The following is a 14,798-nucleotide window of genomic DNA, read 5'->3' on the forward strand; positions in this document are numbered from 1 at the left end:
ACTTATCCTTGAGAGTATGAAACATCTCACCTATAAAAATATATACAGTAGTCTGAAAGCCTTTTCGGTATCTTTTTCTAGATTTTATTCTGTTAATATTATTTATTCTTATATATTTTATTCTTTAAATGTTTGTGTGTTTTTAAAATCATAGTGACATTACATTTGGTGAAAATAGTAACAATTTTTAGTTTTTTAAATTTTCTTTTATATACTTGCTATCCCAAAATCCCTAGCCTGTCTTACAAATATAATAGATATTTAACAAATAATTTCTAATTGATTGATTTTATAATTATCAATTTTAAAATGTTTCCTGGAATAATTTTGTCTTTTGATAGCTCAAATATAAATGAATATTTTCCATTTATTTTAATATATTCTCATAGTCATCTCAGCATCAGATGCATCTCTTTCTTTGGTACTTCTCAGGGTACCATTAATATGAATGTATTCACAATTATGTTTACTCACCTCAATCTATTACTTTCTGACATTGTCTTTTGATCTCTTCAACCTTGGTAACTATTATCACATTAAGCAACCTTTTACAATTATTAGTATTTAGCAAAGAATAACCCAAGGAGCAATTAAATGTGTTGGCCCTCTTGTAGTCTGTAATTTTCCCTTTTCCTATTAAGTAGTGGACTTACACTCTGCAGTGACATTCTTTTGATTCTCAGGCACTTACAGTAAGTGTTTCCTTATTTCTTTTTATAAGCTCTGCTAATCGGGTTTCATTCTGTGACTCTGTCTCATGACTTTGCCCTAACACAGACCAAGTAATTACTACTCTTACATTTTTACCTTGTAACTACATTTTCCCTGACTTTTTAATGTAATTTCAACAGTGCCCTATGCTCAAGTTAGGGCACTGTAGGTTTCTGAAGGTGATTTTCTGAGATGAGACATATAATCAAAGTCCTAACTCCTTCTGTTCATAGCACTTATTGGAATACATTGTACACTAATCTTTCTGCACTTAAAAACATCAGAAATTTGAAACATTTATTTTAAACAACAAATGGATATTATTATGAATATTTGGCTTAATTTTCCAGGAGTGAACTTCTACTAAAAAATCGGATTTTAATCTAAGAATAAATGGGCACAAAAAAGCCTAAATAATTCAATTATAATTAACAAGTTTCTTGGTTGTTTTTATATATATCTAATTGATTTTGTAGAAAAAAAAGAGGAAAGAAGAAAGAAAAAGAAAGAAAGAAAAAAGATCAATAAATAAAGAAAACCTCAGTATAAAATAAAACATTTTTCATTATCAATTATGGTATATGTTTCATACAATTCTAGGTGTAGTAAATTGTTCAAGTTTACTGAAAAATGTGTGCATGAAGAACTGTGGTAATGAAATTGAAGGTCGAACAGTTCATATACTACAAGGGAACAATCTGGTCCCAAACCTTATTATTCAGCATGGCCAGCCACATATATGGCCAACTGGCTTTGGCAGTGGGATAGGAACTTCATGAAAAAATCTATTGTTTACTCCCAAATTAGCTGCTCCTGCAACTCAAAGATTACTATCTCTTTGTGTACCTTAGGTACCTTAGGTTTCCAGAGCTTACAGGGATGATCTCTTGGGTGGTAAACATCTCCTAGGTCATTTTGGTTCATGAAGGAACACACACACACACACACACACACACACACACACACACACACACACACACACACAGAGATTAGAATTCAATTTTAGATCCACTAAAACTCTATTTGTTATTATTGTAAATTAGTGTTATTATTGTAAACTTTTCTTTAATTTCCAGATTCTCTGAAAATTCCATTTGAAACACTGAAAAAACACCATCTATTTTCTTTTGGAAAATGGTAAGTGGAATTGATCACCCAGCCTAAAATAGATTGTGCAGAGGTATATATTTGCTTTAATTTATGGCAATGTGTATATTTCAGCTTAATGAATATTTTACTCTTGGGAACAGTTAGAGAATGGATTGCAGTGCTTTGATGCAGAGGAGCAAAGGGGATCATGTTTTGTTCTGATTGATTTCCCTGTTTAATCTCAGACAGTCTCAGGATGTTGTGAAGCCGTAGTTTAATATTCTATAAAAATGAAATATATTTTATGGAAACTAAAACAAGAAAACTTACTTTCATTGGATTATGGAACGTTTGGTGTATTAAACATTTGCCGAGCAACGCAAAGGGAAACCAATTCAATTGTCTGGCCAAAACTTTGTCTCACCAGGCATCTTTTCATATTATGAATTTTTATCATTTTTTGAGAATTTAAAAGAATCGTGACTGACAACTTAAAACCTAAATATGCTGCCAAGGCAGCACCAGGGCAGCAATGGTGCAGAAGAGAGGGAAGGAGATTGAGTGACTGTCAATGATCATAATTGTGTGCATAGCAGCAATAGCTCTGTACACAGCACAGTCTAAATGAAATGTCTTTCTCCCTGGGTCTTATAGTCTGACGTGATCATACTGACAACCAAAAAAGGGCTGCCTTATTTTCTTTTTCTTTGAAAAAGGAGTTTCTCTTTATTTTCCTTTGTCAGTCACTTGTTAGTGGAATCTAACTAAAGAAAATGCATGAAAAATATCTGAACAATTGGCATCCAAATTAAGCTAAGTAAACTTTGACTTTTGATATTAGCATTACTGTCTTTTTGCTACACAAAATTAATGTAGTCCATCTGAGAACATTTAAACGAGCACAATATAAAATTTAAAATTATGTATAATAACCACACTATCCAGAGATAACCTCTGTTGAATTTTTATTTATATCTTTCTATTTATCAATCATACATCTAAATTTAATAATTTTAGGCACAGTTGGGACTGTAGTCTGTTTATTTGGTTAAATTGTCATTTGTTAATTCAATATAGCTCTGTAAATTTCCTGTTGTTTTAAAGATTCTTCTCTATGATCACATTCATTTTTTTGGCAACTAAATTTTAGGGATGTGCCAGAGTTTATTTGTAAATCAAACTTCTAAAAGAAAACCACTTTACTTATCAGAGTTCAAAATAACAATGTTTGAAATTGTAAACATTTGTGTGATTAAGTAGAGAGATAACTTACTCATTTCTTTTTTTGTCATATTTGCTCAAATCACTTAGACTTCCTGTTTTTTGTATTCCATAAAGTTACACTTTACTGTGTGGTTTCATAGCCCTCATTTCAAAAGGAATCAGATATATGTTCTTTTTTCATCCACAGGTGACTCTCTCTACAATAGCCTTTTAAAATTTGTTTCCTGTTAATTTTATCAGAGTATCATTTGAGATAAAAATTATAATAAATATATTTAGAAATAATATGCTTTAATATTTAATGACTGATGGTAGCTAAAGAAAATTTCTTAGTGTTGTGGTGTTCCTATTACTTATTAAAGTGATACATTATTTTTGTGAAAAGACTGCTTGGTATTGTGAAAGCATTCATTTTACATCAATATAGAGGAAACTTCAAATCATCCCACTGTGTGTGTGGTGTGATCTTGGACAAATTATTTAACTTCATTAAGACTATTTCCTTATCTAAAATAAATAAGTCTATTTTATAGGTTTTTAAAGGGAAATAGATAAGCTTATTTTGCGTGATTTTAGCATGATTTTTAGGAAGCTTACTGAAACTTTTTTTTGTATATCTATATATAAATTTTCCCAAGTATATGGTGGGAACTGTTAAAGAAAGATTAAAATGGAAACCACGATTTACATATAGCCCAAGGCTAGCCACTCATATCCACGTAGCCAAAACTTAAGTTGTCCTGATTTTCCCCAAACTTTTGCTCTAATGATAAATAAAAGACACCATGTAAGCTTTACATCCTCATTGGCATGATTCAATGAAATCTTAAAAAATCATCTATAGACAAAATTAGCTTAAACAGCTCTGTTTTTCTTATGAAGAATGTTAATGTACAATAGCCAATAATGAATAAGGTCAAAATACATCCTCTTCTATGCTTTATCAGCTGTGCTGTAACTGCTGTAAGTGAGACTTCTTTCCACTCTTGGTTTGTGATCTCTGGGTTTGTGAACTGTTTTTTTGAATGCACAATTAGTTTATATATTTTTTTCTAACTTGATGTGATTTTATTTTTGACAGTACTCAATGAATTACAGATACTAACATAATTAGTATTAGTATCTATAATACTTCAGATACTAACATAATTAGTATCCATTTTTGTTAATTCTGTTCATGATAAGTATGTTTCAGTAGCTCAGTTTCTTTCTTACCTTTCTCTTTTTTCTTTCTCTTATTCTTTCTCTGTTCCATTTTATTTCCCAATAACTATAGGAGTAGGTCATAAGTCTTTAACACAAAGCTACTCAAAAGCCCTATAGAAGTGATCCAAGCATTATTCAGATTTTTCATTTCCATATAGGACATTCTTTTTTTTTTTTTTTTCCTGAAGCCTATACCTGGTTACTTACCTAATAACATTTATCACAGCCTTATTTCCAAGCTCCTGGATTACTACCCTTAAATGTGAATTGTGCAAATAGTTATATTTCTTTGATGTATTTTCTTTGTTGTTAATGAGCATGTAACACACTCAAGTGGCATTTTTAAGTGATGTTATAAAAATGTAACATTCTGCCACTTACCCAAAAAAGATATTTTATGTAACTGATAAGCACATTTTTTCTTTTGGTTTGACAAGTATACCAAATATTTCACTTTAAATATTTTCTCTTGGCTAAATGTCTGTCAAATGTGCCTAAATAACTGTACCTAAAGATTCTTATTTACAGAAATAGGCAGACTTTTTTCCAGGTTGCTAGAGGAGAGCAGAAAGAGGAAGCCAACGAGGGTAAAACATAGCGTTTAACATGGAAAATGTAGAAGTGCATTAAAGAGAGGGAGTGGGAAAGCTATGTGAAATAAAGCTCTGCCAGAGTGGAAGAGTAGAAAGGTCACTCAGCTTAAAACTGGAAAACCTGAGTTCAATTCCCATAACTGCTACTTACTCATGGTATTATAGAAGTCACTTAACCTTGCTTAGCCTTTGTGGTATTGTAAAAGTCACTTAACCTTTTAACCTTAGTTTCCTCATTTATAGATTAAAGATAAATAATATCTATTTTGGATAACTGTTATGAGAATTAACTAAGGTAAAGTACATTTAAGTCATTTGCTTACTGGCACTACTTTTTTTAAAAAAATAAGCATTTCTTTTTTAAATAGTGAAGGCAACCAGATGCCTTGGAAATAGACATAGCATTAAGATGTGCACAGAAATCAAATGTAATATAGAATTTAAAATTAGATCTTCATAGATAATCCATCTTAAAGGCAACAAGGTGCTCCAATTAGCTTTATAATGGAGGTAGAGGCATGAAGAAGAAAAAGAGACTATTTAATGGGGATATTAGACAGTTTTCCTCATGTCATATTTTTAAATCCTTAGAAAAACTTCAAAGTAGGTTTTACTATCCCCATTTCACAGAGGATTAAATAGATGCAAAATAGGTTTTCTAAATAACTTGTTCAATATCACACATCAAGTGGAGAGAGGAAGCTGAGAATCAATCAAACCCAGACCATCATGCCCAAAACACATTCTTCCTGTCATATTACCACTCCTATACAACTAGAAAAAGTCACGCAGATGTATAATGGCAAATTTTAAATTATTTTATTGAATCTTCTATTACCTAAAAAGATAAATAGGGGGTGAAACCTTCTTATTTGTTACAATATAACCTTATAACCTCTATTTGGTTCAATTCCTAGGAGAATAGGTTCTCCTTAACACAGAAATTCAAATACTAACACTTTTGATATGCTGTTTTCATGAAAATATGTGGGAACCAATAACAAGTATACCATAGATGTTTCAAAAACAGTATTCATATTTTCTAATAAAGAGGATACTCTCTCAAGAAAATTACCAATATGGCAAATATTTGAAGATGATGATAAAATAAAATCATCCCTTGTGATATGGCCAAATCACCTAAAATATCTGTTTACCAAATGGTAGCCCATATCTTCATGCTTATTTGCAATCAGACTCTTGAAAAACATCACAATGAGGAACCCAGGAGAGATGAATATACAGACAAACGGGAAAGACAAGATCATATACTAGATTGAATATGAAAACTTGCATCAATATCTCCGTAAGAGTATGACCTCACTTGACTTCTCCCAGTTCAAATTATATAGGATTCCTTTAACTTAAAGTAACTGAAACTTTAAAAAAATATATAAGAAAAGCTAAGTCACAGTCTGGGTTCAACTTATAAGCATAAAACTTTCTATTTGTCTTAAGTTATTGAAGCCAAGAATTCTAAAGGAATCACTGAACTAAATGGGTAGACCACTGCTGCATTATAATTTCTCCAGCTGCTGGAGGCTTAACTATGTGGTGCCATGTCTGAGAATGTGAAATGGACATATGATATGAAAGCATTATGATGTGTGATGACTTTGCATGTGCTGTGTGATAAAGCTTAGCAGACTCCTCTTTCCATTTGGCTTTTCAGATTTGCACACATTGTCAGGAAAGATTGCCAAAAAGCTTTCTTCCTTATTCTCTATTTTTAATGTATTTCTGCTAAGAGGTGAATCTTTATATGCTCTACTCTAATGCAAAGATCATGATTTTAGTACCTTTCCTAGGATTTGCAGGAAACATATGGAGAGCAGATTATTCAGGTTGTAAAAATTACCACTTCAGATTTGGTTCACTTGACTTGTCATCCTTCCTGTCATCCAGTATTCTCTTTTCACCTACCATGTAAACATCACTTGGCACAAGGTTTCTTTTTTTAAGTTGATGAGATTTCATGGGCTCTTTGTGTGTAGGTGTGCACAAACATGCTGCAAAATGTGCATGTTTGTTTTGACATGAAAGAAAAAGAATAATTTGTCCTTTATGCTTTATTTAGTAGATAAATGTAAAATCAACCTTCGTTTACTTTTAACTGAATCCCAAGTATATTCAAAATGAAAAGATTGAATGGAGAATTAAGCAGAGACAAAACTGACATGATCACTGACACTGATGAGCATGAATCTACCAGCCAAGAAAACATAGATGAATGAAGACATTAAGTATAAGGTAGAAAGGAAATGTCAAAAGGAAAACACAAATTTTCTGGAAAATTAAAGGATGGAAAGAAGTTCTAGCTTGGGAACCTAGAATATTTACTTGAAGAGGAAAACATTAAATAAAGTATAAAGTATAAAGATGCATCCAAGGCAATCTGGAGTCTGAGAAGTATAAAATGGTGATCTTGGTATAAGAAAATTGTAATTACACACATAGAGGCAGGAAAGCACTGAAAAGTTTTATTGAGTTGCAATTGTAAAGTACGGATATATGAAGCTTAGCTGTAGGGAGAGGGGTTGGAAAGCTTATTTAGAGTATGTTGCTTCAAATCATTTGCTTAGGAGATAATTTATTTATCAGTCAATGGAAATCACCAAGATTTCAGCAAAAATAAATGAGGAGTATGATTTAGGAAAGGTATTTTTGTAATAATTTAAAATATAGATCAGAGATAGTGAAGTTAGGTTGCAAACACCAATTAATAGGCTACGCCAATTAATCCAGAAAAAAACAATAAAAGCAGAAATGTGTGCGGTTGTGGAAGAATATAAAACAGAATTACAACAAAAGTATTGCAGGGAAAATCTGCACAACAAAATATGCTGAATGCAAATACAGTTGGAAAGGGATAGAATTTTTTTTTAAAATGACACATGCTTAAAACTTGGAGGGATAGAGGATCTGGATAGCTAATAGGCAGCCAGTAGTTTAGATCAAATCAGTTTACCTCATAGATTATATTCCCTCTTTAGGATAAGGCAGGAATTGGTAAATGTATTTTTTAATACAAGAAACATCATTATTTTACTGAGAGGAAGGAACAAGTAGAGACAGAGAGAGAGAATTTGAAATACAATATATAGAAAGAAGATTGATAACATAAGGGGATCTGGATTCTCTAGATGATGACTGTGCAAATCACAAAAGGTTGGTTAGCTTTGGAAAAGAGGAGGAATATTTTTCTCAGTCAGCAGAGAAAGCAGGGCAAAAATATACAGATGTTTTCAGATGATGTTTTCACATGGGTTAGAATAAATTTGAGGGACATAGAGTTAAATAGTCAACATCAGAATAAAGTCCAAGGTGAGATGATTTTCTAATTGTGAGGCAGCTCTGATTGTGGCTGGAAACAGAAGAGTGCAGGTAGAATGTAGAAGACGCATTGGGGAGTGTGCAAGACTCTGCAGCATCACACATGAGAGCTAACAGCTGCATATCCTTCATGAAGAAGTTCACACCAGCTGTGAGAAATTGGTCTCACTCAATCTGTCTATATCAACAATTTCACTACAGCTCAGCTAGAATTTGAATGCCGACTACACTAAATAAGTTGTAACAGGTTCGAAAAATTTGTGTTTCCCTATTCTCTAGGAGTGATTTTTCTTTCATTTTAATCTTTAATTTAAAAAAAATTTGTTTAGATACACAAGTTCCTTCAAATTCCCTTTCAGGAATAGGTAATATAAACATATATACTTCTGTCAGTTTAATTAAGATTTTTAATCCTATACTCTTTTGATCAAGTGTTCTCAATCCAAAAATTTTCCTTTCCAATTTTGAGACAATCAGCAACATTACTTATCCTGAGTTTTCTTGAAGAGTATATAGATGTAAAGCTGATTTGCCATTTGTGGGGTTTTTTTGTAATTAATAACATATACCTTTATTTGTACAGTGCTTTCAGTTTACAGAGGGTTATCACATATATCTGATTACAGTCTCACAACAACAATAAAGGTATTGCTTTATTCCTACTTCACTTTCGACAAAACTGGGTTTTAGCGAGGATAGGTAACTTCCTCAGGGACCAAGTTGACTTCATCTGGTAAGTGGATCAACTTAAACACTGATCTTTGAACTCCCTCTTCTGTGTTATGTCCATTCAATTAAGTTGAGGTTTGGGAATCTATATGTAATTATCAGTCATTATTAGACTTTATTTTACTTTTGATTTGCTTAGCAGATTATTAAGCTATTATTTGGTGCAATTTGCTGGTTTATGTCAGAATTCAACTACTTAAATGAAAGGAATATCATTATGCTCTTAAGGAAATGGTATTTTATTTAGGAAATAATAATACCTCTATAGTCAATATTGTCAGTGTAGTGTACTTCTATACTACAGATTCTTTATTTCCCATTATGTATTTATTCTCTCTAAATTATTCATTTCCTGTATCAAAAGACCATGCTACGCTTAGATGGAAGAGAAGGCTGGTCTCAGAGACATTAGATGACAAAATTATTTTCTTTATTCAACAAAAATCATTAAACAAGTTATTCGACCCTATATAGGGGAAAATATAGCAAATATCTATTAACATGATTCTGTTAAATTGAAAACATTTATAAATAAAAATCATTTCTCATATTTGACTTAATATATGTTATTTGACCCCAAAATATACTTTCCGTCTGTCTTTATGTATCAGTGCTAAAACCATGCGTTGGCAAAAAAGAGACAATTATCTAGCACACGAAAAAATTTAGCGAAGTTGTACATTTGGTACACAAGATATTTGCTTTTAGATTTCTTTAAAGTAAGAATTATGAAGTTTAAAAAATTCACTGAGAAACAGTTACTTTTCTTTTCCCACATTCCCATGAAGCCCTATTGGTGCTTTTTATTATTTTGGGAACAAAGCAAGAATAAATAAGTCACTACCTTCCAGAAAATTGATGTTAACCACTTAGTAGCCACTGAAGTAAGCATTTAACTTCAGTTAAATTTCATTATAGTGTGTTCAATTTTTCTCATTCACTATTGCTTAACTTTCAGGACACTTAGTTTAGAGTAATGAAGACAAAAAAGGACATCCAAAATGATATTGACTGCTTAATGTTCCCAAATTTGAAGGGAAAGGCACATTCTCTCTTGAGCCAAAAATTGATTCGCTTTTCATGGATTCTACTTTGAGTGCACTAGAGAAGAGGGAAATTTGCACGTCCTATACATTGCATAAACCCAACCTTCTTAGTACATTTTGGTTTGAATCTATGAAGTTTATTTTAACAATACCCAGGTCACACACAAGGTATGATTTAGAAATAAATTAACTTTAATTCCTAAGGTTTATGTAATCTTTTATATCTTATGACATCCAGATCTTGTTTTATGTTCCTTTAGCATTATTCAAGATGTTCTACAGCAATTGATCCTGACCAAAAAATATTTATAGTAAATGGCCTTAAGCCAATAATATGCCTTTTGCTTAATAAAATTGCTTTCTGAATAGTTTAAAAGGTGCTTGTATTTAATGGCAAATATAACACCGGCTGCTCTTTTCTGTGCCAAGTTGCTGTCTAGTTCAAGGTGTTAAATAGCATAATGAGTTTGGTCTCCTCTAATACAGAAAATAAAGACCCAGGAGAACTTCCACTGAGAGGGAGTTTTAGAATGTGAGATGACAGGTCGTTGTGAATATGACTTTTCCAAAAGAGGAGAGTTTCTAACTTTTCAAGGCCATGTTCATTCTCCTAATTCATTAGGTGGTCGAAAAGCTCTGTCAGGCAGAATTGTCAATAGGCTAAGATGTATTTCAAACACGACGTCCAAAGATGTTAATCTTTCTTTTCGGATTCTGCCTGTGTGAACAGTGCTTTACTCAGGGAGATTTAGTAAAATAGCTCTTTTACTCTCACAAAATCAATTCTGTGTAAAAGGTATGAATGAAATCTTTCAGAAATTCTAAATTGTAGTTTAGTTTATATGAAATAGGTATATTTTAGTCATTGTGAATTCCTTTTATTATTTCTTAAGGGGAGGTGGTGATTATATGGAATCTGACTGAAGACTCAAAAATAATTTCCATGGACTTACATGCATAGCAACATTAAAATAAAAATTATCTTTAGTTTTGGTTTTGAAAGTTAATTATTAACTCTGTTAAGGGAATTACTAGTCTAGAGCAAATCTCATAGAGAGAAAAAAAGCTATTTACTATTTTAAAATAATTCTTGTACCTTTTAGATATGCATTAACCTGTTGGAATTTACTTTTGTATATACATAATAACTAAGCTTACTAATTTTATTTTTTTTAATTTTTTAAAATTTTACTTTCATTTCCAGGATACATGTGCAGAATGTGCAGGTTTGTTACATAGGTATACATGTGCCATGGTGGTTTGCTGCACCTATCAACCCGTCATCTGGGTTTTAAGCCCCGCATGCATTAGGTATTTTTCCTAATGCTCTCCCTCCCTTTGCTCCCCATCACCTGACAGGCTCCAGTGTGTGATGTTCCCCTTCTTGTGCCCATGTGTTCTCATTGTTCAATTCCCACTTATAAGTGAGAACATGTGGTGTTTGATTTTCTGTTCATGTGTTAGTTTGCTGAGAATGATGGCTTCCAGCTTCATCCATGTCCCTGCAACAACTTAAAAGGGAAGTGAAGGACCTCTTCAAGGATAACTACAAATCACTGCTCAAGGAAATAAGAGAGGACACAAACAAATGGAAAAACATTCCATGCTCATGGGTAGGAGGAATCAATGTCATGAAAATGGTCGTACTGCCCAAAGTAATTCACAGATTCAATGCTATTTATATCAAGCTACCATTGACTTTCTTCACAGAATTAGAAAAAACTGCTTTACATTTCATATGGAACCAAAAAAAGAGCCCATATAGCCAAGCAAAAAGAACTAAGCTACCTGACTTCACATTATACTACAAGGCTACAGTAATCAAAACAACATGGTACTGGTACCAAAACAAATATATAGACCAATGGAACAGAACAGAGACCTCAGAAATAACACCACACATCTACAACCATCTGATCTTCGACAAACTTTACAAAAACAAGAAATGGGGAAGGGATTCCCTACTTAATAAATGATGCTGGAAAAACTGGCTAGCCATATGCAGAAAACTAAAACCGGACCCTTTCTTTAAATCTTATACAAAAATTAATTCAAGATGTTTTAAAGTTTACTAATTTTCTACATGAAAAGTGAACTTAGATCAAGAAGTGAGACTTATTGCAGGAAATTTCTAAAAATAAATCTGTTTGGCAAACCATAAGAATGACGCGTAAAGACTTTTATTGCTGTGTACATCAGACTACATTGTAGAATACATTGACAACATTTAAAAATAGTTGTTTCTGAAGATAATTTAGAAGATTCAATATTATTCCTAAAACTAATTTATAATAAAATATATTTGGCTAAAGATGAGTTATACAAAGCTAAGCAAGTCTTTGACTTTTTACTGCACGAATTTTCAGCCTTTTACAAAACTTTTAAAATTTTTAATTAATTTATTTTAAATTATACTTTGAGTTCTGGGATACAAGTGCAGAAAGCGTAGGTTTGTTACGTAGGTATGCATGTGCCATGGTGGTTTGCTGCACCTATCAACCTTTCGTCTAGGTTTTAAGCCCTTCATGCATTAGCTATTTGTCCTAATACTCTCCCTTCCCTTAGCTCCCACCTTCTGACTGGCCTCAGTGTGTGTTGTTCACTTCCCTGTGCCCATGTGTTCTTATTGTTCAACTCCCAGTTATGAGTGAGAACATACAGTGTTTTGTTTTCTTTTTCTGTGTTAGTTTGCTGAGTATGATGTCTTCCAGCTTCATCCATGTCCCTGCAAAGGACATGACCTCATTCATTTTTATGGCTGCATAGTATTCCATGGTGTGTATGTACCACATTTCTTTATCCAGTCTATCATTGATGGGCATTTGGATTCGTTCCATGTCTTTGCTATTGTAAATAGTGTTGCAATAAACATATGAGTGCAGGTGTCTTTACAGTAGAATGATTTATTTTCCTTTGGATATATACCCAGTAATGAGATTGCTGGGTCAAATGTTATTTCTGGTTCTAGAGGAATAGCCACACTTTCTTCCACAATGGTTGAACTAATTTACATTCCCACCAACAGGGTAAAGGCATTCCTATTTCTCCACAGCCTCACCAGCATCTATTGTTTCTTGACGATCTAATAATTGCCATTCTGACTGCTGTGAGGTGGTGTCTCATTGTGGTTTTGATTTGCATTTCCTTTTTTAAAACTTTTATGTTCAGGGGTACATGTGGATGTTTGTTACATAGGTAAATTTGTGTCATGGAGGTTTATTGTAAAGATTATTTCATCACCCAGGTAGTGAGCCTAGTACTCATTAATTATTTTTCCTGATCCTCTCCCTCTTCCCACCTTCCACCCTCTGAAAGGTCCCAGTGTGTGTTATTCCCCTCTATGTGTCCATATGTTCTCATCATTTAGCTTCCACTTATAAGTGAAAACATGCAGTGTTTGGTTTCTGTTTCTGCATTAGTTTGCTAAGGATAATGGCCTCCCATTCCAACCATGTCCCTGCAAAGAACATCATGTTGACCTTTTTATAAAACTCATTGTGATTATCCAAACAATGTCTGTAAACTTAAAATGCATTTCTTAGATTGTTTTATCAAAGAAGGCTTAATTTGCAGAGCATGTCTTGAAATACTCTCTTGAAAGCATAGACCTAATTTATAATTTCCTCACCGAAGAAACCACTGTTTCCTTTTGCCTAGAGAGTACATTTCAAACTCTAGCACTTCTTAAATTTTCTGTTGAAATTGGCCTCAATCTATTTTAATTTTGCACTTACAGGCATCCCATTCTATCTTTCTTTCCACTAGAAGAAAACAAATGATTTTTATTTTCTGAAAAATTCAGGCACTTACACTTCTTGTTTATTAAGTAATCAACTTTTGTATTTTTAGTGAAGAAATGGTTGTATGTGGGAAACAATATAACATTTCCCTGGTGGTACATGGTCTGAGACTACCATCTCAATGATTAGCTAAGGCTCTTTTTTTGAGGTTTGCAACAGATATGCCTATATAAAAATCTTTGTGACAATAAATGATATTATAGCAAAATTCAAGTCTTTATGTGTGCCTATAACAGATATATTCTACTGATTTAATTAAAATACACTGAAATTGAATTTAAAAACCTTGTATCTTTCCTTCGCTTGATGAATTCCACAGAATAAGTACCAGAACAAAATTACTAGGATCTTCATGTCAAATTTTCATGAAAATAAAATAAATGTATTAATTTTTTAAATGTGTAAATATATATTAAGTGTCTCTGAAGAAATTCTGTATCTATAATTAAGCATAAAGAAGTAAATGCAAGTTTCTAAATAACCAATAGCTTTGTTTATTAAACCTCTACTAATTTGTGATCATTTTTTCAGAAACTATTTCATTATATTTATGAATAAAGAGTTTAGCATATAAATGATTAAATAAATCTATCTAGTTACTTACCAGTAAGTCTTATACAATTCTTGAAAATACATTGCAGTTTAATTTAAGTTATACAATTTGAGCTAAGTTCAAAGTTATTAAACGTTTACACTTGTCTCTATGAAAAGAAAATAACTTTAAAAACTAGTTTTAGTTAACTTTATTATCTATTGTAAATGTCTACTGTCTAATTATAATGTTAAAGGATTTCTCATTTCTTCTTGTTAGTTACCAATTTAGATTCCCTTTCTTTTAAAAAATTGATATATTCATGTTTTTCTTATATATTTATAACACTTATGTTTTGAACCCTGAAATATCCTGTATGTTGCAAATATTTTCCTAGTATGTCTCTTACTTTTTAACTTTATTTATAGGGCTATGATAAGATGGAAGTTTACATTTTTAACCTGAGCTGTAATTGATTTATGCCTATTCCTCCCAAACTTCAGGATCACTTTTCTGCCATTTCTGTTTTTATTTA

General features: G+C 32.1%; 1 long non-coding RNA gene across 1 annotated transcript in view; it reads left to right on the plus strand.

Annotated features, from left to right (window-relative positions):
• LOC105377899 (uncharacterized) overlaps positions 1–14,798 on the plus strand; it is a 198,745-nt gene that overhangs the window by 76,449 nt on the left and 107,498 nt on the right. Inside the window, exon 3 of the long non-coding RNA XR_001744262.2 lies at positions 1,788–1,848. This is a non-coding gene — a long non-coding RNA (uncharacterized LOC105377899). The remainder of the gene's footprint in view (positions 1–1,787; positions 1,849–14,798) is intronic.

Source organism: Homo sapiens, chromosome 6, assembly GCF_000001405.40.
Source record: "Homo sapiens chromosome 6, GRCh38.p14 Primary Assembly".
Taxonomy (NCBI): domain Eukaryota; kingdom Metazoa; phylum Chordata; class Mammalia; order Primates; family Hominidae; genus Homo; species Homo sapiens.